This window comes from Homo sapiens, chromosome 9, assembly GCF_000001405.40.
Source record: "Homo sapiens chromosome 9, GRCh38.p14 Primary Assembly".
Lineage (NCBI taxonomy): Eukaryota > Metazoa > Chordata > Mammalia > Primates > Hominidae > Homo > Homo sapiens.
In genome coordinates this window covers 865,433-887,821 of record NC_000009.12, presented here as the reverse complement: position 1 = coordinate 887,821, position 22,389 = coordinate 865,433, and the positions used below count along the sequence as shown (strand labels likewise).

Below are 22,389 nucleotides of genomic sequence, written 5' to 3'. Positions count from 1 at the left end.
GCAAACTGGGAAATCTACAAAGCAATAATCCAAGTGCCGCAGTGACAGTATAGATAATGTCACCAAATGGTTCTATATAGAGAGGTGTCAGAAAAGGCCACGGTGAGTGATGAGCCAGAGTGGAGGTGATTTAGAGACAGTGGGTAAACACTCAAAAAAAGGAGAATAATACCAATAGAGTCATGAGGGAGGTCAACAGAGGCCCAAAGGAGAGAAAGGACAAGACGCGCTCCAGCCACAGTGACCAGATGAGCCTGGCTGGACTGCAGAGTTCACAAGTGACAACTGCAAATGAGAATGGAAGGTTATGCTGGAGTTAATTGCTGAAGACCCTGAATGTGAATGCCAGGCCAACAAGTTCTCCTCTAGGGAACCAATGAAGGTTTTCAGAGCAAGGGAGTAGCAGAAATATATTTGGGAATCTGGTCAAAGCACAAAAAACAGACCTAAGAGAATAAGGAGATGGGGGAATAGACTAGGTGCTTTAAATACTCCAGGCAAGAAGTCACTTTAAGCTTGCACAAGGAGGCCGTAGTAAAGGAAGGAACTTCATGAAAATCACTGGCAGATCTCCTTTTCTATGAATTCCCTCCAAACAACTAAGTTACATTGTTTGTTTGTTTGAGAGACAGTCTCACATTGTTTCCCAGGCTGGAGTGCAGTGGCGTGATCTCCTGATCTCGGCTCACTGCAACCTCCGCCTCCCAGGTTCAAGTGATTCTCCTGCCTCAGCCTCTGGAGTAGCTGAGATTATAGGCTCCCGCCACCACGCCCAGCTAATAAATTACATTGTTAATATCTGTCATCCAGAGACCAGGAAAGCAATCCAGATTCCCTTTTGATGCTTGTTCAACTGCTGAGTGATCATAGAATAAGCAGCTTCAGAAGGAATATCCGATTCCTTGCCCAGACTGACAGAGGATAAGCATAAGCAGAGTATACCTACCATCTGTCCAGCCCATGCTACAGCAAACTCCCCAGAGAGAAGCCAGCAATATTTGCTTCAACACTGGGGTGTCAGCAAAGATGGCAGGCCAGCCTAAGTGTCCCTATTAATTGATGATAAACCTAAAAGTAATATTTCCAACTGATACGCCACAAAACACACAAATTTATCATACAAAATTTAAAATATGTATATATTTATATATACATAAAGTTTTCAAAAAGTGGTTTTCCACATACAATTAATAAGCTCCCCCAACCATATCCATTCCCACTCTGAGCCACAGGAAAAAAAAAAGTCACAGTAAGAAGTGACAGTTTGGCCGTACACGGTGGCTCACGCGTGTAATCCCAACACTTTGGGAGGCTGCGGCGGGTGGATCACTTGAGGTCAGGAGTTTGGGACCAACCTGGCCAACATGGCAAAACCCCATCTCAAAAAACAGAAAAACTAGCCGGGCGTGTATCTGGCCCGTGCCTGTAGTCCCAGCTACTCAGAAGGCTGAGGCAGGAGAATCGCTTGAACCCAGGAGGCGGAGGTTGCAGTGAGCCGAGATCGCACCATTGCACTGCAGCCTGGGTGACAGAGCGAGACTCCGCTCAAAAATAAAAAACAAACAAACAAAAAAACACAGTTGGCTCCATGAACCTGAGCTGAATGCACCAATGTTTATCAAGTCCCTTGATCTGAGTATGAATTACTCCTGCCAGTCTCCATGGCTTGTGTGCACTGTAACACGGACTTTTAAAACTGCATGGCCAATACAACTAAGTACAGCAACCACAGAAGTATATTGAAGGGAAACATTTTAATGAGTCTGCTGAAAATTCTTAAGCTAGATCTCACTCTCTATTTTTCTAGAATGATAATTGGCCAAAATTGCTTAATGAATAATAACAGAAAGCTAGCAGCATTGTTTTCAAGAGAATGTGCTGTGTTGTTATAATGAATAATAACAGAAAGCTAGCAGCACTCTTTCCAAGAGAATGTGCTGGCTTTCTTAACCAGTAGTCCCTTACAGTCCATTACAGAATTATCAACCTGTAGATCTGATACAGAAGTGGGCAGGGAAGTGCTGGGTAGAGGTGGGCGTGGTCCCTTGCGAAGGCTCCACTGCAGAAGCCTGTGCCCATGGACTAGCTGAAGACAGGCACTTCTGCCTTCCCACCTAAATGTTGCATTTCCCAAGACCACCCTGGACCACCATGCCTCCATCCTGTGTCTACAAAACCCCTGAAACCCTAGCGAGCAGACACACAAGCGGCTGGGCATTGAGACGAGTAGATTGGTGGAAGAAGGCAAGCAGCTCAACGTCGAGAGCAGACTGATAGGCACTGGCAGGTCATTGATGGGCCTAGGCCATTTGACCAGCAGAACAACGCTGCGTTTGGTTGGGGAAGTAGGAGAAGAGTCGGGCCGCTCGACAGCCTGACTCCAGGGGAAAACCATCTCCTTTCTGACTCCCCTATCTGCTGAGAGCTACTTCCACTCAGTAAAACCTTACACTCATTCTCCAAGCCCACATGTGATCTCATTCTTTTGGTACACCAAGGCAAGAACCAGGGGATACAGAAAGCCCTCTATCCTTGCAATAAGGCAGAGGATCTAATTGAGCCGACTAACGCAAGCCACCTACAGACAGCTAAACTAAAAGGCACCCTGTAACACACACCCACTGGGGCTTCAGCTGTAAACATTCACCCCTAGACACTGCCATGGGGTCGGAGCCCCACGGCCTGCCCATCTGTATGCTCCCCTAGAGGCTTGAGCAGTGGGGCACTGAAGAAGCAAGCCATGCCTCCTTCACACGCTCTAAAACGGGGACAAGAGGACCTTTCCCATTTCAGATCTGCTGTTATGATGCAAATGGAAATATGAAGTTAGATGTTTTTGTTTTTGTTTGAGACCGAGTCTCACTCACTCTGTTGCCCAGGCTGGAGTGTAGTGGTGTGATCTTGGCTGACTGCAACCTCCACTTCTTGGGTTCAAGTGATTCTCCTGCCTCAGCCTCCCGAGTAGCTGAGATTACAGGTGCGCACCACCGTGCCTGGCTAATTTTTCTATTTTTAGTAGAGACGGGGTTTCACCATGTTGGCCAGGCTGGTCTCGAACTCCTGACCTCAAATATCTGCCTGCCTCGGCCTCCCAAAGTGCTGGGATTACAGGCGTGAGCCACCGCACCTGGCCAGATGTTTTAAGTGTTACCATTGGTATATACTCCTAATTTGTGCAATAAGAACAAAAGATCAGAAGGACTGGATCCAACCACTCAGAAAAGCATCAGGAACTCAAGAAATACACATCTGGAAAAATTACCAATAGCATTTGTCCCACAGACCATAACAGAGCTCACTGTCTCCCCTCAGATGCATCTGCAGAGATGTTGCTTATGAGCTCAGTCACCTCTTATTCTAATACTCATGTTCATGGCTACACCCGTTTACTTTCTGCACATTCAGTTCTTTGATAGGGCTTCACAATCCCTCTGCTACTTTTTTTTTTTTTTTGCACTAACATGCAGTGTGAAATATGATTCACTCCTTCATGAGGGATCAATACCTGCACATGATAAATACCCTTACTGATCGTGGAGTGTTATATGCTGGTCTCTGGGCCCATGACATATTAATAGTAGTTAACCAGTAATTCATTTTAAGGTGGGTGAAGGCTTGCCCCCCTCTTTGCTGGTGTCATGATTCCCAAAGTTGTTGCACTTTGAGTCCTTTGTGTTCAAATCTGGATCCACACTCACCTCCATGAAAAAACCAAACATCACAGTTTCCAGCATGAAGTAAAAAAAGGTCACAAAACCAAATTTACCATTTACAAACAGTAAACTACTTGTGATTCACATGAGGTCATGTAAACGATTAATTTATATACTCCAGATTTTCTCTTTGTAACCCCATATCTTGCATGGTGTTTGTCCTACTTAGCTTCTGAGTTTTAAGAGTTACATACCAGTCAGGCAAAATTATTCACCAGTAAGTCTGAAAACTATCCATCACCAACTAATACTTTGTGTTGAGCGCTACGAGGGTATAGCAAAAGCGTAAGTTGTTTTCCCCATTTTTTTTTTTTTTTTTAAGAAACAGGTCTTGCTCCGCCCAGGCTGAAGTGCAGTGGTGTGATCATGGCTCACGGCAGCCTCCAACTGCTAGGCTCAAGTGATCCTCCTGTCTCTGCCTCCCAAGTATCTGGGACTACAGGGGCACGCCACCATACACGGCAATTTTTTTTTTTTTTTTGTAGAGACAGGGTCAGGCTATGTTGCCCAGGCTGGTCTCAAATTCTGGTCTCCAGTGATCCTCCCACCTCAGCCTCCCAAAGTGCTGGAATTACAGGTGTGAGTCGCTGCACCCGGGCTCTCCTTTTGGGGGTCGGGGGAGTTAATGCATTTTTTTAAAAGGCTGTGTCATTCGATGATGACTGATTTCATGGCACTGGGATGCTCCTCACTGAGGGGAGAGGATTCATCTCAACCTTCAAAGTACAGGTTCCCCTGATGTTGGCTCACTAGTGTCGCTCCTGTAGCACAAGACACGGAATGTGGTAGAGCCTATTTCTCCTTTCTCCCAGGAAGAGATTTTTGTCTTATCTTTTTAACGTAATTTGGTTGTGAAGGAATGTCAGCTCCTTTTTTTTTTCTTGGTGTGAACTCTTTTCATAGCAAAGTGAACCTGAAGTTGGCTTTTAAAGATAGGAGCGGGCTTGGTTCAAAGGGGAGTGCAGCGTCAATGTGGGACAGATGGCAGGCTATGCGTATGGAATCTGGAAAGAGTGAAAGAGTGAAAAGGGTGGGGTGGGCAGGCTTGGTGGCTCATGCCTGTAATCCCAGCACTTTGAGAGGCCGAGGCGGGAGGATCACTGGAGGCCAGGAGTTCGAAACCAGCCTGGCCAACATGGTGAAACCCCGTCTCTACTAAAAATACAAAAATTAGCCGGGCATGGTGGCAGGCACCTGTAATCCCAGCTACTGGGGAGGCTGAGGCAGAAGAATCACTTGAACCTGAGAGGCAGAGGTGGCAGTGAGCCGAGATCATGCCACTGTACTCCAGCCTGGGCAACAGAGTGAGTGAGACTGTCTCAGACAGACAAAAAAAAAAAAAAAAAAAGATTCAGGGGAGACGGGGGCGCCACTGAGCACAACCAGATCAAAGAAATCAAGCAGGAAGATGACGGGAAAATACAAACATGAGGCTGAGCAAACACAGGCCTTCAAGGTGAGCAGGTCTTGATTTGAAACAGGCTGCCCTGGGGCTACTGAAAAGCCCAGAGTGTCAAAGCCCATCCATTGTGTGCAGCAACTCCCAAAGTGTTGGCTGAGAAGAATGCAAAACCCTGGCCTGGAGGAGCTCAGGTGATTAACAGTGCAAAGGAGAATGTAAAGGACTGGAAAAGGTTTCCCAGAAGACACCTTTAAGCAAGAGAACATTCTGGATGTATAAAGGATAAGAAAGGACTTCCAAGTCAAGGAAAGAGAGGAGACACACAACAAGAGCTTCGAGGCACAAGTAAGGTTAAGAGAAGAGCCTGCAGAGCAGGTAGAGCACAGGGTCCACTGCAGGAGGAGAATGGGGGTGCTCCTGGCACAGTGGTATGCAATTTGGGATCCCCCTTCACACCCCCAGAGAAACTTAATTGGGCCTGAAAAGGCTGGCATGTAACGCACAGTGGCATGCTAAAGTTAGGAGGATCCCACTTCCACCTGCAGGGGTTTCTGCCTCTCCCTGCCCTGATTCCTGCTCTCTGCAGCTTCCTCCTTCTTCCACACCTCTGCCTGTGCCTCAGAATTCCCCCAAGTCACCGAGGAAAACTGTTAATCCTACAATGAGAGTCAGATTTGGAGGAAATGCCATTTCTCTGACCCTCCAAGGCAATGTCTCATGGCCATGAAAGCCTGTCTCACGGCCAAGACAGAGATTTCTCTCTTTAGGCCAATTCAGAATGTCCTACCATTGGCAAGATACCAGAGACAGTTTGGGACTCTATCAACACCTCCCAGCGGATTGGAGGAGCAGGTTGTGCCACAAACAGGCCAATGGGAAAGCTTGAGTTTGGGGGTGGAGAAGAAGAAAGGGATGATTCCCAACACAGTTCCTATCCATCAAGGCTACATTCTAAAAGCCGTCTTACAGAGAATCCCTTCTTGAACCTTTTAAATATTTCGTACACTGAGGATGTTTTAAATTAGGAACTTGTTTGACTGACTGTGTACATGTATTTAGGTCTCCACAGAAAAGATCTGCTCTCAACTGTAATCAAACAACTTAAAATGGAGAAGCCTAATTTATCAGGGTCTTTCTCTCTAGAGCATGTAGGGAGCTGGACAGAAGGTAGCAAAGATACATGTTTAAGTTTGCTCATGGTCAGCTCCATGTAGATATAGGATTCAGATCCTGCTTTTATGACTTTCTTTTACTAGTAAGATCATAGATGTTTTGTCTTTGTCCCTGCAGGCCCCAGAAAGTGATGTGAAGGAGTAAGTGGACCTCTACATAAATGTATACAATTAAGAAACCGAATTATACCTCACCATATTGTTTCACATAGCTTCCGTTCAACTCAAGATTATACCTAGTTCAATTTATTATCGCCAATTTTCAATCAGGCATTTGTCTTGTAAATTTTCCTGGCTGTCATGAACAGTGACTTATCCAATTGTACAGGACTGGAGAGCCCCCTCCCTACCAAGAATGTTTTAGAACCTGCCTCTAAACCAGAAGTTTTCAAACCTGGCTGCACAGGAGGAGGAGGTGGGGGGGGTCTATAGAATTCCCCATGATCAGGCCACACCCCAGACCACTTTGCGTGACAGCCTCCCGCAATGGGACCCAGGCAGAGCAAGTTGAGAACTGCTTTAAACCCATTCAAGCTTGGTGCTTTGATGTCAAGAAATCACACCCTTACATCTTATCGCAGCAGCTGTCAAAATGTGGTTGGAGGTCCTCGCCTACAACTTCCTTCTGAGGGCCCAAGAGGTCAGAAGTATTTTTGCAATAACATAAAGATGTAATTTGCCTTTTTTGCTGTGGTGACGGGCACTGATGATGCAGCGGCAAGGGTGGGGAAGGCCGCTGGTCCTTAGCACATGGCAAACTACCCAAGTATACTTTTTTTCCTTTTCTTTTCTTTTTTTTTTTTTTTTTTTGAGACTGAGTTTTGCTGGTTGCCCAGGTTGGAGTGCAATGACACAATCTCAGCTCACTGCAACCTCTGCCTCCCAGGTTCAAGCAATTCTCCTGCCTCAGCCTCCTGAATGGCTGGGATTACAGGCATGCGCCACCATGCCCAGGCAATTTTGTATTTTTAGTAGAGACAGGGATTCACCATATTGGCCAGGCTGGTCTCGAACTCCTGACCTCAGGTGATCCGCCCACCTCAGCCTCCCAAAGTGCTGGGATTACAGGTGTAAGCCACCACGCCCAGCCCAAGCTACCCAAGTATACTAATGCTCGCATATTCCTCATCGCTATGAAGGAAAATGTTAAAACTTTAAAAAAATGTTATGTTGATTTTGCTAAAGACACCCTTGATGAAGCAGAAAGAAAGAGTAACTTGATCAAATCTGTACCTCAGAGTACACGTCTTTTTAAAAACTGTGTGACTCAATGGGAAGGACTCACACAGCCTTTCTGCACACCAAAGGAAAAAGGACATTTGTGCAACTGTTGAAGAGCTACACTCACTGCTTTTTCTTAAAGGAACACCATATCCTGGAAGAGTGACTGATGACAAACTACAATTACTGAAACTCAGATATTTGGCGGCATTCTCTTGAAAATGAACTAAGTGAGCCTGTCACTTCAAGGAAAACAACTGACAGTATTTATTGCCGAAATTTGAGTTTTCAAGTAAAAATTAGAATTTTAGAAAATTTATGGCCCCCCACTATGTGGATGACAGCTTCCAAACTTGAAGATTATTCTAACAAGATCAGCAGTAGTATTAATGAATGTGATTTTCTGGTATTTTGTAATAAAATGTGTCAACATTTGGAAGTTGTACATAACTTACTGAAGTAGTATTTCCCAAATGACCAATGCATAATGTTATAAAGTCATACACGGATGAAAGAGCCATCCAAAGTATAAGAGAGTCTATGGCCATACCACCTTGAACGCACCAGCAGATCTAGTCTGATCTTGGAAGCCAAGTCTGAGACAGATGAATAGATTTTAATGAAACAGAGTACAAAATGTTCGTTAGCATGGTTTTGGTTTCCACATCACAACTAATCTTTAAGCAATTACCACTTGTCAAGTTTTGGTCTAGTATCAAAGAATAGTGACAATGATGTAAAAGGCTATTAAAATACTTCTACCCCTCTTCTAACTATCTACGTGAAGCTGAATTTTCTTCCTGTATTTCCATTAGAACAACAGCCTACCTGAAGCAGCAGCTATGCAAACCCACCTACATCCTATTAAGCCAAACGTAAAAGAGATTTGCAAAAATGTGAAACAATGCCACTCTCTTGTTTTTTTTTAATTTGCAAAATGTAGTAATTTTTATTGAAGTATGTTACGTATGCTAAGAGGTAATGAGTTTATTATTTTAAAAGCATAATTTTTTTTTCATTTCTCAATTTTAGTTTCCAGTATGGTATCGATAGATATAACCCACATAAATAAAAGCTCTTGAGGTCCTCAATACTTTTTAAGGTTGTAGAGAGATTCTGCAAGTAAAAAGTTTGAGAACTTCCATCTTAACAGCCCCTGTCTTTTTAGGGGGACTGATTTGAGAGAATTAGAGCCTGGCATCTTATTCTGAGCTGGCTCTCAGGGTTGTGTTATTAGTAGACAGCAATAAAGTCCTAACCAGGCAGCTCTGGCTTTATCCTTATGTCTGAAATATTTCTTTCCATGAAACAGGCATTAAGAATGACACAATATGGCCAGGCAGCACAACTTCAGGTTGAGAGCACTGGTCCCAAGCAAAAGTAATTGATCGGATCTGAAATCTAATGCCATGCAATCATGGGGCAAGTTATATACGTTTTGCATGTCCCAGCCTTTGCACGTAGCAAAGAAATACTACTACTACTTGAGAATTATATGAGAGAAGACATGTACTTAGAAAGGCTCTGCCACGTGTTGAGTGCTCAATAAATGTTAGCTATTATTGTTATCACAATCACAACACGGCCATAACGTTTTCTGCCATCAAGCAAGAGAGCCACCAAATAACTCCGCACAAAGTTATCCTTGCTCCAAATCCTCATCATTAGGGTACTGCAGGAGGGCTGGGCTGCACCTGGCCAGGCTTCCCAAGCTCAGCTGAACTTGGAATCTTCCACTCCTGGCCTTCTCTGAGGTCAGACAGTAGCCTTGAGTGCGTTTGGTGTGATATTACTCCCTAAAGTCATAATCAGGAAATGCGGGAACAATGTGTTTCTCCCACAAGGCAATCATGACAGGGCTATTTTAAACGTCAAACACAAACCTGGCGCCAGGAAAGCAACAACTGCTTACTGTGCACCTCCTGCAAGCCACCACCTCTACTTAGTGAGGCAAATGCAACCCAGTGGAGTAGAGTGCACCATTCCTTCCCTTTTCCAAAGTCTGTCTCCCACAGTCCCATCTCCTCCTTTATTCGACTCTGCTTTTGAGAAGTGCAGCCACTCCTGTGATTACCTTAAGACAGGCAGACATTTTTATTGGGTGGGGGGGGGGCAGCAGCTGCAGTTCCAGGGCTGAACTTTTAGCTTGCTATAAAGTTAATGTGCTATTCAATGTTCATTCCAGGCAAGGCTGTGGGGCTGTGTATTTTCTGCCACCCCCGGAAGGCCATTATCTGTAATTGCCCATTACCATGCATAATTATTTCTCCTAGCGTGGTCTATGACCTCCAGGGTTGCTGGATGTTTTAGCAACCTGCTCCACCTAACCAAATTTGTGAAGGAAGCTTTTCTGACCTCCAGTACTTTAATGGTATATTCCAAAGCCAACCATGGGTCATTGTACAGGCACACTTATCCAGAATCAGGAATATTTCAGATCTCTTCCAGGTGTACTTTTCTCACCTCCATGGACTTTTACCTTCCCTAAAATAAAGGAAAAATAATCAACTCTCCATTGTGTGGGAGCTGATAACCCAAACTGGGAATTATCTGGAGCCCTTTATACTCCCTTTGCTTTGATTCTGCTGTTTAATTGTATCGTGCTTTTTAAAGACTGCTACTGGGAAAGTGAACAGAGACACAGAGAAACTTTACATCTTAAATTCAATATATACAATTCCATATTTAGCTTCTTTTTTTGGAATGGGAGGAGGAGTTCTGTTCAAATTAGTGACTGAAATGAGATGTGCAGATTCCCTATGGATTCAAAATATTAATGCTAGAATTGACATCTAGTGCTACATCAAAAAGTGCAGCTTTACATTTAGCTTGCTTTTCAACATAAATAGCAGGGAAAGAAAAGGTGCAAACAGGGTTGCTGGCCATACATGTGCCCACCAAATGCTTAGCCACTTGCTGGCATTTCTTTGTCTCCTCTACCATCGCCTCCTTCAGAACCCTTACTGCACCCTCCAGGGGGGTGAGACATACCTCTAAGGTATTACACGGTTCAAAACCTGTTCAGCAGAGTGTATGTATATCCTGGGAACGAGACCACTCAATTTTTTTATTCCTTTGGAATAAAGCTTCTTTGACATTAAAAGAAGGTGATTCTACAAATAAAAATTCATCCATTCTTTCAACCATCATTTTTACCAAAGTCAGGGAAGGTGAACCACAGAGAATTAAATCCAATAGCCTTTCACAGAATGTGACCACAGAGAAGTCCTTGGAGGTAATTTCATCCCTTGTTTCTACACCCAGAGAGGTTCAAGTGGCAAGTCTGAGGACACACATGTAACTGGAAGTGGGACCATGGCTGAGGCAGCCTCTTCTGAGCAAGTCTGAGGACACACATGTAACTGGAAGTGGGACCATGGCTGAGGCAGCCTCTTCTGAGACCTCACACTTGTCTACCATGCCGTGTCAGAAGGGGAAAAGGGAGCCGTGGAGTCTGGCTGATAGACATTCTCAGACACCTGTTACCTGGGCACAGTGGTCATGCCTGTAATCTCAGCACTTCAAGAGGCCAAGGCGGGAGGATTGCTTGAGGTCAGAAGTTCCAGACCAACCTGAGCAACATGGCGAGACCCCATCTCTACAAAACATTTTAAAATAGCTGGGCATAGTGGCACGAGCCTATAGACCCAGCTACTCAGGAGGCTGAGTGGGGAAGGATCACTTGAGCTCAGGAGGTGGGGGTTGTAGTCAGCTATGATTTCACCACTGCACTCCAGACTGGATGATAGGGCAAGACTCTGTCTCAATAGATTAAAAAAAAAAAAGCCTATTGACGAGGAGTCAACCTAGCAGTTTCCTGGAAAAGAATATAAATGACTACTAACTTTAAGCACTCACATGGGAGTGTGTCAAGCAAAGAGGTCAAGTTCTTAAGCTCCAAAGACAGACTGTGATGGTCTAGGCCTTTTCCCCTTTTCAGCAGGGAATGTCAGGTAAGGCAGTGGCTGAGAGTCATGATTTGGCCCCAGGTCACTTCCCACTGGCCCAAAGCCCCTGACTTGTGGCTCTTCTACCTTATCCTGGAAGCAGCTCCCTCTAAATTCTGGCTTCTTGTTCAGCTCTGTACTTGGAAACTGCAGCCTCACTGCCAGCTGCTGCTAACCTAACTATGTTGTGCTGTTCTCAAAGGATATACACAAGCTACTCGGAACCAGGTAAGAAGACCTGTCACCCAGCTCTCAATTGTGTCCCTAGGGCTAACTGCTCCACCAAATCTACCACTAACCACAGGGATAAAAGGGTGCAGCAAAGCATGCCATACTGTGTCAACTCCAGCATCCCCAGTGTAGGGGCGGGAACTCGAGTTCCCAGCCAGGCAGGTGACACAGCTCTGCCAATCACATGTGGCACCTCTTTTTGGCCAGAGACAGGGGCTTCTGGCTTTTAAACACCGGACGCAGCTATTTTCCAGCAGTTCAAAAGCCCTGAAGGCTCTGGTAACTTGGGATATGAGCGTAAATATATATGTGTGTGTACATACACTATATATGCACACACACATACGTACACATACATACATACATACACACACATGCACGTGTCTCAAAATCTTACCTGAAAAGAAAATCAAATCTGAACTGAAAGAAATGACTACAAAGAGCCATGCTGGGCTTGTTAGCTAAAATGTCTCTATGGCAACCAAGACACAAACAGCATGACAGAAGCTATCTAACTGGCCCACAACTATAGTCACACCATCATCCATATATTTTCATTTTCCTCATTTGGTGATCTTCATTGTACAGAATTTGTACATCTGGATCACCAGAAACCTAACATGCTTTCTGAAATTTTACCTCACAAGGTCTTGATACCTCTCAAGTATCAAAAACTATGTGACAGTAATCAAAATAGATGCAGAACCTAGGAAAATCTCTGTGGGGAGGGTCCGGCCTGTGTCAGGGAAGGACAAAGACTCTAAAGCTGTCGGGCCCAGGTCTGGGAGCCCTATCTGTGGAAAGTGAGTTTGCAAAGTCTGTGGGCAGCACCTGGTATCATCTGTAACTGCGTCAACCACTAGCCTCACCCACAATTCTCAAGGTTTATTCCACCACGGAAACAATACTGGTTTTAAGAGTAAGAGAATAAAGACATGTTTTTTAAAATTTACAATGAGGGAAGGGCCATTATCAGAACGACAAGCACATACTCCTACAAACATACAGGTTTTAAGATTAAGTGTTGGCCGGGCGCGGTGGCTCACGCCTGTAATCCCAGCACTTTGGGAGGCTGAGGTGGGTGGATCACAAGGTCAAGAGATTCAGACCATCCTGGCTAACATAGTGAAACCCCGTCTCTACTAAAAAAAATACAAAAAATTTGCCGGGCGTGGTGGCGGGCACCCGTAGTCCCAGCTACTCAAGAGGCTGAGGCAAGAGAATGGCATGAACCCGGGAGGTGGAGCTTGCAGTGAAGTGAGATAGCGCCACTGCACTCCAGCTGGGGTGACAGAGCGAGACTCCATCTCAAAAAAAAAAAAAAAAAAAAAAAAGATTAACTTGTTGTTGTTGTTATTGTTTTTAATACAGGGTTATGACAAGTCCCAAGAAGAGAGGAAGGAAGGCCAAGACAGCCAAGAAGGAAGTTCCTTTTGTGTCCACAGAGAGGATGCATACCTAAATTTCACTCAAGAAATTAAGGCATCAAGATTTGAAGAAAGGGGTACTGCTTTGTTCCAAATTCCTTTCAGGCATCATGGCCCTTTTTCTAACTAGGAGCAGGGAGTTTATGGCAGTTGCCATCATTAACAAGAATATCTAACATAGCATGCACAGACATGTATTTAAGGCTTGTGTGTGCCTCATACACATTTGCTGTATATATTAAGATTGTGTAAAATAAACTTATATACAAGTTCAGAAACAAATAAAGGGCTGAAAATGACAATGAAGGGGAAACAAAGCAAGAACTAGATCTAGATACAAAAAGGGACCCAATCTATATCTCAACTGTATAAATATTAGATGAAGGCGCTATGATTTTTCTGAGAACTATTCAAATGATCCTGATATTCTGATCCATGAATCAAAACTTACACCATCTCAAAAAACAAAACAAAATGATTTAATAGAATCTCAAGACTGGGAAAAAATTTCAAGAGGTATTGTTGACTCATTCATTACCTTCAAAGAGAATCATACACATGAGGAGAAAAGAGATTCTACCCCCTATTCAAAGCTGAGAGAGCACCATGCCAATGCTAAAATCTCACTTACCAAAAGGACTACATTTTAAATTTGTTTCCTCGTTTAATCTTAAGAGAAATACAAAATACATGGTCACCATACTCTGTAGGAATAATTTATTTCCTTGAGAGCTTTTAGGTACTTTCCACTTCCAAGTTAAATATGCCCACTTCCTATATTTCTTTTCCCCTACTAATTGAATTTTGGGGGGAGTACTAGAAGGTGAACTTTTTCTCTTCTTTTCTTTTTCTCACTTCCAAATCTATGCATTGTCTGTTCTCTCCCTGCAGGTCATCTTTAGCCTTAGTCTCTCCAAATGGACAATACAATACTTAAAAGGTATTAGAAGGCCATTCCCCCAGTTATTAAAACACCTTTCCACTGCCTTTCACCTCACCTTTGCCACTGCCTAGCTAAAGGGTTTCCCTTCCTTTATTTCACTCATTCACAAGACCTAGCGATAACCTAAGAACATTAAATGTCTATAGAGGCTGGGCGCGGTGGATCACGCCTGTAATCCCAACATTTTGGGAGGCCAAGGCGGGTGGATCACCTGAGGTCGGGAGTTCGAGACCAGCCTGGCCAACAAGATGAAACCCCATCTCTACTAAAAAAAAAAAAGAAAATACAAAAAATTAGCTGGGCGTGGTGGCAGGCACCTGTAATCCCAGCTACTCAGGAGTCTGAGGCAGGAGAATCACTTGAACCCGGGAGGTGGAGGTTATGGTGAGCCAAGATTGCGCCACTGCACTCCAGCCTGGGCAACAAGCGCAAAACTCCATCTCAAAAAAAAAAAATGCTTATAGAAATGTGTTTTACAATTCAAACTTAAAAAAACAAACAAAAAAAACTTACAAATGGGCAAAGGACTTGAATAACCATTTTCTCTAAAGAAGACAGACAAAAATGGCACAAAGTGCATGAGAAGATGCACAACGTCATTAGCCATCAGCAAACTGCAAATCAGAACCACAAATAATACCACTTCGTGCTCACTAGGATGGTGTGATGGTTAATTTTAGATGTCACCTTGACTGGGTTAAAGGTTACCTAGCAAACTGCTCAAGGATTATTTCTGGGGTGTGTCTGTGAGTGTTTCCGAAAGACACTGGCATGTGAATCCATGAACAGAGTAGAGAAGATCTGCCTTTAATGTGGGGGGACATCGTCCAATCAGCTGGCCCAGATGAACAAATTTTTGTGTAAATGTATGTCACACTGCTGGAAATGTAAAACGGTGCACCCGCTTTTGAAAAACCTTAGCAGTCCCCCAAAATGTTAAACACAGACCCACCACATGAACCACCAAGTCCGCTTTGAAGTAAATACACAAGAGAATACATATATTTACACAAAAATTTGAACATAAAATGTTTTCCATTAACTGATGAGTAAACGAAATGTTGTATATTCATACAATAAAATACTGATAAGTAATAAAAAGAAGTCCTGATGTCCTGAAACATGCTACAACACGGATGAACCTCAAAAACATGCTAAGTGGAAGAAGTCAGACACAAATAATCCCACAGTGTATGATTCCATTTACATGAAATGTCTGGAATAGGCAAACCTATACAGATAGAAAGTAGGCTAGTGGTTACCAGAGGCTGGGGGAAGAAACCCAGTAACCAGTAATGGGTATGAGTTTTTTGGAGATGGTATGAGAATGTTTTAAAATTTGATAGTGGTGATGTTTACCCAACTCTGTGAATATATTAAACATCACCTTAAGATAGTGAGTTTTGGCCGGGCGCACTGGCTCACGCCTGTAATCCCAGCACTTTGGGAGGCCAAGGCGGGTGGATCACAAGGTCAGGAGTTCGAGACCAGCCTGGCCAACATGGTGAAACCCTATCTCTACTAAAAATACAAAAAATTAGCCTGGCATGGTGGCGGGCGCCTGTAATCCCAGCTACTCGGGAGGCTCAGGCAGGAGAATCCCTTGAACCTGGGAGGCAGAGGTTGCAGTGAGCCGAAATCAAGCCACTGCACTCCAGCCTGGGTGACAGAGTGAGATGCCATCACAAAAAAAAAGATGGTGAGTTTTATGGCATGTAAATTATACCTCAGTAAGTTATTTTTAGAAGGGTCTCAAATAATATAAAGTCTGCTTCCTATTTACTCAGAAATCAATAGAAAAATGTAAATAGGTATATAGAGAGATGAAGAAAATATAACAAGAAATGGTAGTTGTTGGAAAAGGGCCATCGTTTTAAACTCAAAGCAGTGGTTCTTAATACTTTTTAGGTCACAGACTCCTTGAAGAATCAGACAAAAATGCTGGGCCATCTTCCAAAAGAAATGCAGCTTTAAGAGTTCAAAGACTAGGCCGGCCAGGCACGGTTGCTCACGCCTGTAATCCCAGCACTTTGGGAGGCCGAGGCGGGCGAATCACGAGGTCAGGAGATTGAGACCATCCTGGCTAACACGGTGAAACCCCGTCTCTACTAAAAATACAAAAAGTTAGCCGGCGCGGTGGCTCGCGTCTGTAATCCCAGCACTTTGGGAGGCAGAGGCGGGCGGATCACGAGGTCAGGAGATCGAGACCATCCTGGCTAACACGGTGAAACCCCGTCTCTACCAAAAAAAAAAAAAAAAAAAAAAATTAGCCGGGCGTGGTGGCGCATGCCTGTAGTCCCAGCTACTCTGGAGGCTGAGGCAGGAGAATGGCGTGAACCCGGGACGCGGAGCTTGCAGTGAGCCGAGATTGTGCCACTGCACTCCAGCCTGGGTGACAGGGCAAGACTCAGTCTCAAAAAAAAAAAAGAGTTCAAAGACCAGCCGGGCTACCGGTTCATGCCTGTAATCCCAGCACTTTGGGAGGCCAAGGTGGAGAATTGCTCGAGCTCAATAATTCAAGACTAGCCTGGGCAACGTGGCAAAACCCCGTCTCTACAAAAAATTAGCCGGGCATGGTGGTGCACACGCCTGTAGTCCCAGCTACTCAGGCTGAGGTAGGATGATGGCTTGAGCCCAGAAGGCGAAGGTTGCAATGTGCCCATGATTGCCCCATTGCACTCCAGCCTGGGCAACAGAGCCAGACCTTGGGTTCAAAGACCCCCTGAAACCCAATAATACAGTTTTAAAAGGCTTGAATGTATGGGCACAATGGCTCACAACTGTAATCCCCGCACTTTGGGTGTCAGGAGGATCAGCTGAGCCCAGGAGTTTAAAACCAGCCTGGGCAACATGGAGAAACCCTGTTTCTACATACACACAAAAAAAATTAGCCACACTTGGCGGTGTGCACCTGTAGTTCCAGCTACTCGGGAGGCTGAGGTTGGAGAATCACCTGAGCCCCAGGACTAGAGGGTGCAGTGAGCCATGATCACACCACTGCACTCCAGCGTGGGCAATGGAGTAAGACCCTGTCTCAAAAAAAAAAAAAAAAAAAAGTCAAGAAAATGAGAAATATGGGAACCTAAGCTTAAAGAACAAAATAAGCAAAGCCTTTAGACTCACCAGGGGTTCTTTCTTGGACCCAACAGAGACCAGAAAAGTGACAGACTAAAAAAGTATCAGAAAGCTTAACCTTCTGAGAAGAGACTACAATGCTGTGGCTAAAAGGATTTCACAGCTGAAGAGCTAAGCTTAGTGAAAAAATTATGACGGATGCTGTCACGGGACGGACTCATCAAAAGGTCAACCACAGGCCACAGGATGGCGACCAGAGCTATGTTGTTGTTGTTATTGTTGTTGTTTTTTGAGACAGAGTTTCATTCTTGTTGTCCAAGCTGGAGTGCAGCGGCATGATCTCGGCTCACTGCAACCTCCGCCTCCCAGGTTCAAGCGATTCTCTTGCCTCAGCCTCCCGAGTAGCTGGGATTACAGGTGCACGTCACCACGCCCAGCTAATTTTTTGTATTTTTAGTAGAAACGGGGTTTCACCGTGTTACCCAGGCTGGTCCCAAACTCCTGACCTCAGGTGATCCACCTGCCTCAGCCTCCCAAAGTATTGCGATTACAGGCGTGAGCCACCGCGCCCGGCAAGCTATTCTTTCTTACATGTTGAATAGTCACAGTAATTTGCCCCCAAAAGGTCAACTTCTAAGAGAAAGCTCTCAAAAACTTAAGAAACTTATTCGTTCAATACAAACTGGGTGCTCAACTGTTTATCTCCAGGGCCGTATTTTTACAACATTACCATATACACGCGCAGGGGTCTTCAGGTTCAGCCAAGTCTGTAACTAGGACGCCCACCAACTCCACAGAATACACAGGACTTTATTACAAGCCAAAATAGAGACACAATGCAGACTTGCATTAATAGCTAATATAAACCAAATGGGGAGAAGAGGAGAAAAGACTATTAACTGTGCGACAGAGAATGCGACACCTTAAGAAAAAATAGAAAATAATGAGAAACAGATTATTAAATTCTCGGGGATTGAAAAAGCCAAAATAGGGAGGAGAAACAAAGTCACTGCAGATTAAATATAGAGAGCTTTAAGCCAATTATAAAAGATCAAAGAGAACAAGAGAGGGGAGGAGTAGCCTTACAAGTAACCGAGATAGGAGACCTTGGGAGAAATATGGCCAGAGTCAAATCATTACAGTTTACAGTAAAAGTAATCTAGGGATACTTTAGAGAAGAATTCACTAGAGACAACAACTAGGAGCAATGACCCGGAGACGGAAATTCAAAAAGTTCTGAATTTTAAAAGGTACACAATTCCAAAGGGAAGGTAATTCCTACGGAGAACAGCTAGGAGAACTGGCAAATGGAAAGGTGCAGATGAGTACACCTTTGTATTCACAATGCAAGTGTAGATGAACATGCCAATGCCTTGAGCCACATTTTTATTTCTATGCCATCCACCTTTAAGATCTGGCATGGTCTCCATTGCATGTCACCATAGGGAAAGGGGAGGAAGAGGCAAAAGCTGTGGCCTTAGTAGAATATCCTTGAAATTCACTTAGTACTTTCTGTTCCGCCCCCGGATAAAAATCTAACAAGGTCCTTTGGATGTCAACTTCCTCAGAAGCCTCAACCATCCCTAAACTATATCAGAGTTTTACCAAGAGAAGCTGCACTAAGAAAAAAGCTGCTAATATAAAGGATGCTAACTTTTATTTTTATTATTATTATTTTTTCAGATAGTGTCTCACTCTGTCACCCAGGCTGGAGTGAGGTGGCACGATCATGGTTCACTCCAGCCTCAACCTCCCCAGGCTCAGGTGATCCTCCCACCTGCATCTCCCAAGTAGCTGAGACCACAGGTGTGTGCCACCATACCCAGCTAATTTTTTTATTTTTTGTAGGAATGGGGCTTCACCATGTTGCCCAGGCTGATCTCAAACTCCTGGGCTCAAGCCATCTACCTGCCTTGGCCTTCCAAAGTGCTGGGATTATAGGCATGAGCCAACGTGCCCAGCCGATGCTAACTTTTAAACTTAACATTTTTCATTTAAGTATACTCTGCAATTCATAAACAACATTTTATGTATATTCTTTCAAACGCTACCTACGATAACCTTGTAAGGTTGAAGACCAGGAGGTACAATGGCCCAAGACAGAGGAGCTAGCTGTGCTTAGAAAGGTGCCCAGCACACAAAGAAACATAGCTGGAACTGCGATTGAAACCCAGGCCTTTTGATTCCAGGTTTGGTAACTTCTTGCAATGACATGAAAAACCCAGACACACAGCTCTTCACTTTTATTCTAAGTAGTGAAGAATTCTGTGAATTTTGTTTTTTTAAAGCAATCATCAATACACCGGATATTATCAAATATCAGAGACAGAAAGCTGAGGCAAATATAGAATACAGCTAAGAGATCCCCTGTAAGATCCAGGATAATGCTTGCCTTGTAAAATACTTTCTTTCAGGCCAGGTGCAGTGGTCACGCCTGTAATCCCAGCACTCTGGGAGGCAGAAACAGGCAGATCGCTTGAGCTTAGGAGTTTGAGACCACCCTGGGCAACATGGTAAAACCCCATCTCTACAAAAAAATACAAAACTTAGCCGGGCATGGTGGCTTGCGCCTGTAGTCCCAGCTAATCAGGAGGCTGAGGTGGGAGGACTGCTTGAGCCCAGGAAGTCAAGGCTGCAGTGAGCTGTGATCACACGACTGCACTCCAGCCTGGGCGATAGAGACCCTGTCTCAAAATAAAAAACAACAATTGTTGATTTCCTAAGTGAGATTGTACATATCACTATATAACCACAAAGATGACTAAAAGCATATAGTATAACTTAATTTACAGAATGATAAAATGTAGTATGTTAATAACACAGCACTTACAGAGAAAATATATCTCAAGAAAGGAAAATAAGAGAAAAAGAAAGCAAAGGGAGCCTTGGACATCAACTATTTTACTTACCCTTGTACCAAGATACAAACCACCTGGCCACCTACTGGGTCCCAGTTACTACTCTCATGACCACAATGACAGAGTAATGGAGCCCGATGTAGGGCATGAGCATGGGCTGTGGGTCACAGACCCGGGTTTGAGTTCCACCTCCACCACTTAATACACATGCCATCTTGTGGAAGTTACTAAACCTCAATTTCCCTATAATTGGAAAAACATACTTCCTATTTACAGAGTTGCCGTAAAGATTAAATGAAAATATAAATAACAAAGCAGCTAAGACAACACCTGCCACAAGGCAGACACTCGGTAAATGAGAGCTACTCGGGTTATAATTATTACTACCACCTATGAAAACATAATGCCAAAGAGTTGAGAATTAAACCGACTGCATGCTTAGGAGGCACAGAATAAAGCACTGCCCGCTCTCCTGGCTTCCCAGAGAGGAATTAGGAAAACGTGATTCATAGTCGTGTGTGGATCTTCAGTTTGACAAACGTCACTTCTTCCTCCTACCATCCTGCATCCTGGAAACACAAACTAATGTGAGAATTACATTTCTTTGCTTAATCACCCTTATTATGCTTTGTTTTTTTTCAGTCCTACCCAATTTCCCCCTGCTCCTAGATGCATGCTTTTGTTCCCTGTCAAACTCCTCTCCACTGCTGTAAATAATCTCTCTCCCTCTTTTATATTACCTTTCAAATATTTATAGACTGTTATTCTCCTTCTCTCCAAGTCATACATCATTTTTGTTGCCCTTCCCCTGGATTCTCTCTAGTTTATCTACATCTTTTAGAAAAAAACAAACCCCAGGTGCTTCATGATGAAAATAGCACACCCAAAGCTAACAACCCCAAACCAATAAGGCCGCTTATTCAAAGCCACACAAAAAGGCTTTGATGTGCCTCTTACTCCTTCCTCCTGTAACTCATAATTCCATCTCTCAGATAAAAATTGAGGGAGAGGGTGATAAGGAAAATGAACACCACCCTCATCAAGTGGATGACTGGACTCTACAAGGTAGCAGCTCCTGGGGTGGGAAGCCATGGGACAGTCTCACACACATCTCAAACTCACTAAAGAGGAATTATGCACCGTGTACATACATTGCTTCCGCTTGTTACTTCCTTGCCCATCCACTGCATTTGGTATCAGTGTATCAGCCCAATAACGTCCTTGAGACTCTCTCGTTGCTTTCTGGTTTGCCCCTAATGAAAAATCTGACACTGTTTATTTTCAAGTAAACACAAGTTTTGAGAGTGTTTTCAAGAAGGAAAACTTCTGAAACTAAACACTTTAAAATACTATCCCCACAACGGGGTAAATGAGTCCCTTTTGCAATGGATCACAGTGTGACACACCTAGTTCAGCTTCCCCATATTGCTTCTTAAAGGTGGTGACGTCAAGGGGTCTGAAATATTATGACATTCCCTTGTCCCACCCGCAGGCCAGTGCTGATGCCTCCTGCTTCTTCATCTGATATGCAATGTCCTGACGATTTCTAAATGTGCATTGATGGTGCTTTACCTGTTCTGCTAAAGGTAACGTCCCAGTCTCAGAGTCCTGAGTATTTGTGTGGTTATAAAACACCCACCACTGTCTTTTTTTTTTTTTTTTTTTTTTTGAGATGGACTCTCACTCTGTCACCCAGGCTGGAGTGCAGTAGCAGGATCTCGGCTCACGGCAGCTGCTGCCTCTTGGGTTCAAGCGATTCTCCTGCCTCAGCCTCCTGAGCAGCTGGGATTACAGGCACCCACCACCACATCCAGCTAATTTTTGTATTTTTAGTAGAGACAGGGTTTCACCATGTTGGCCAGGCTGGTCTCGAACTCCTGACCTTAGGTGATCCGCCCACCTTGGCCTCCCAAAGTGCTGGGATTACAGGTGTGAGCCACCGTGCGCTGCCCTCACTCTCTTTTGAAAGGATGACAGATGGCTAATACTGAAGGCATCTATCAGCGAAGTCAACAAAACAGAAAAAGAAGGTCATGAAAAGAAGGGGAAATATTTATATTCTAATGGGACGGTTTAATACATCTACCATGTTTGAGCATTAAGATGTGTCTCTGAGATTCCTGGCAACTGGGGGTGTAGGGAAATGTGATGGGTTATGTAATCCTCACCCAAAGATGTAATTCTTGTTGTATCTGTTCAGGTAGCTTCATTTTTGCAAAAACTTGTTTATTGCTACAGGATAAATCATATCCGGGCTCATTCATCTGCTCCTCCTATTAATATCTGAAATGTGAGCTCTATGACTTGTTCATGTACTTCATCACAGTGTACAAAGGTATTTTTCATAAATACCTTATATTTCATATATATCATATATATTTATGAAAAATTAAGTACCAT

The 22,389-nt window shown here is 44.0% G+C and overlaps 1 protein-coding gene across 6 annotated transcripts in view, besides 1 other annotated feature; it reads right to left on the bottom strand.

Annotated features, from left to right (window-relative positions):
• The window catches only part of DMRT1 (doublesex and mab-3 related transcription factor 1), a 127,394-nt gene that overhangs the window by 81,269 nt on the left and 23,736 nt on the right, over positions 1-22,389 (bottom strand). The gene's annotated exons all lie outside the window — the stretch shown is intronic.
• Positions 6,786-6,855: a silencer, noted in NCBI's record as "silent region_19726". NCBI's record gives its function as "represses an Ori minimal core promoter by ATAC-STARR-seq in GM12878 lymphoblastoid cells {active_cell/tissue: GM12878}" and the evidence as "EXISTENCE:reporter gene assay evidence [ECO:0000049][PMID:35858748]".